The sequence below is a fragment of the Homo sapiens genome, chromosome 3, assembly GCF_000001405.40.
Source record: "Homo sapiens chromosome 3, GRCh38.p14 Primary Assembly".
NCBI classification, from domain to species: Eukaryota; Metazoa; Chordata; class Mammalia; order Primates; family Hominidae; genus Homo; species Homo sapiens.
Window position 1 is genome coordinate 127307331 of NC_000003.12, and position 2398 is coordinate 127309728.

The 2398-nt window shown below is 45.0% G+C and overlaps 1 annotated feature.

Annotated features, from left to right (window-relative positions):
- Positions 261 to 310: an enhancer, noted in NCBI's record as "active region_20455". NCBI's record gives its function as "activates an Ori minimal core promoter by ATAC-STARR-seq in GM12878 lymphoblastoid cells {active_cell/tissue: GM12878}" and the evidence as "EXISTENCE:reporter gene assay evidence [ECO:0000049][PMID:35858748]".

Here is a 2398-nt window from a genome sequence, read left to right on the forward strand (position 1 = left end):
TCAGGATGGTTGCAGAACTCTCGCTTTCCTCTTCGTATTTCAAGCAGAAAAACAGGGAAAGGCAAAGAGGAACAGGCTCCTGGGGTCAGCCTTCCTTCCTCTCCCTTATGTTTCAAGGTATCACAGGACCACATGAACTCCAAGGAAGACCAGGGAAGAAAGGAGAATGGTTGTCAGGAAAGGCAGGAGTCTCTACCACAGATAAGCGAGCATCTGCCCCCAGGATGTGGGCGCCAACACTGAGGCCTCGGACTTGGGGCCTCAGCCAAACTCCAGATGTCAGCAAAAGTCCCATTTTCACATCCTCTTTTCATACCATGCCAGATATTTCATGCAGTCCCCTCAGCCTGCTCTCTGAAAGATGGAATTCTTCAAAGATCTGAGCCCACGCAACTCACTTGGGTGAGTAAGAGACATCAGATATCTGAGGTTCTGCAACTGTAGCCAAGACTTCCTAAACCATCAAGGAGCTGAGGGGTGGACATCTTCCGGGAAAGGGGAATGGGGTTAGTGTGTTCTATTCATTTTTATGTTGGTTTTCTCTTGAGGCATAAAATGAGGACCCAAGCTAACATCTAATCAAAATATATTTTTTACCTTAGTTTGGATAGCAATAAAAAAAATTTTCCATAACGTTTATATACATCAAAGGAAAAGCAAACAAAATAAGATAAAGATAATTTAGATATAGTATAATTATAAAATGAGGAAATAAACTCTGCAAAAAGGAACTTTCAGCTCTGCCAGAAGCCATGAAGATCTCGACTGACCCTGTTTAGAATGTGGCTCTCACCCATTAATTCCACTCACTGCCCACGAGGAGGAAAGTGTCTTGGAATGAAGAAGATTGTCTCCGGGGACTGACTGTCTTTCTTTCTTTCCTTCTTTCTTTCTTTCTTCTTTCTTCCTTTCTTCCTTCCTTTTCATCCATTTAAAAAATCAAGCTTTATTTTGATTTCTAGGCACATATCTTTTATATTCCTGAAGTAAAAACACTTTTTTATACAAAATAATTTCCTTCAGTACAAGGATTCAATAAAGGCTTTATTTTTAAAGACTTCATGAACTTTAATATTCTTTTTATTTCATGGTAAAAACACTTAACATGAGATCTACCCTCTTAAATTTTTAAGTGTACAATACAGTATTGTTAACTATAGGTACAGTGTTGTACAGCAGAGTTCTGGAACCAGAGACTTTGGCAATAGCTGTTTTTCTCCTTATTTTCTCATAATGATAATGCGCTCCTTGTGCATTTACACATTTTTAAAGAAACTGGTTCCTAAGGATTTTATTATTAAATGCTTGCAGTCGAGCTGGGATGGGAGCACCCGTCAGTCTCCTCTCCAGGGAAAAATGGGGCCTCAATGGGGAGAAGTAACCAGCCCAGAAAAAAATCAATAGGGTATGAACAACAAAAGATAATAAATCCAGACTAAAGGAGGAAAGAAATAACTCCTGTAGCTATCCTCAGTGAGGAATATCACCAAATCTTTGTATAGCCAGGAATTTACCAATTCCCTCAAAGTATGAAAAAAAAAAAAATCCCTGAGGAGTGTCTCTGCCCTGCCGCCACCCCGTCTGGGAGGTGAGGAGCGTCTCTGACCGGCCGCCCCATCTGAGAAGTGAGGAGCCCCTCCGCCCGGCAGCCGCCCCGTCTGGGAAGTGAGGAGCCCATCCGCCCGGCAGCCGCCCCATCTGGGAAGTGAGGAGCGTCTCCGCCCGGCCAGCCGCCCCGTCCGGGAGGTGGGGGGCAGCCCCCGCCCGGCCGCCGCCCCGTCTGGGAGGTGGGGGGCGCCTCTGCCCGGCTGCCCCGTCTGGGAAGTGAGGAGCCCCTCTGCCCGGCCGCCACCCACTCTGGGAGGTGTACCCAACAGCTCATTGAGAATGGGCCATGATGACGATGGCAGTTTTGTCGAATAGAAAAGGGAGAAATGTGGGGAAAAGAAAGAGAGATCAGATTGTTACTGTGTATGTGTGGAAAGAAGTAGACATAGGAGACTCCATTTCGTTCTGTACTAAGAAAAATTCTTCTGCCTTGGGATGCTGTTGGTCTATAACCTTGCCCCCAACCCCGTGCTCTCTGAAACATGTGCTGTGTCCACTAAGGGATAAATGGATTAAGGGCGGTGCAAGATGTGCTTTGTTAAACAGATACTTGAAGGCAGCATACTCCTTAAGAGTCATCACCACTCCCTAATCTCAAGTACCCAGGGACACAAACACTGCCGAAGGCGGCAGGGCCCTCTGCCTAGGAAAACCAGAGACCTTTGTTCACATTTTTATCTGCTGACCTTCCCTCCACTATTGTCCTATGACCCTGCCAAATCTCCCTCTCCGAGAAACACCCAAGAATGATCAATAAATACAAAAAAAATTAAAAAAAAAAAAAGAAAGA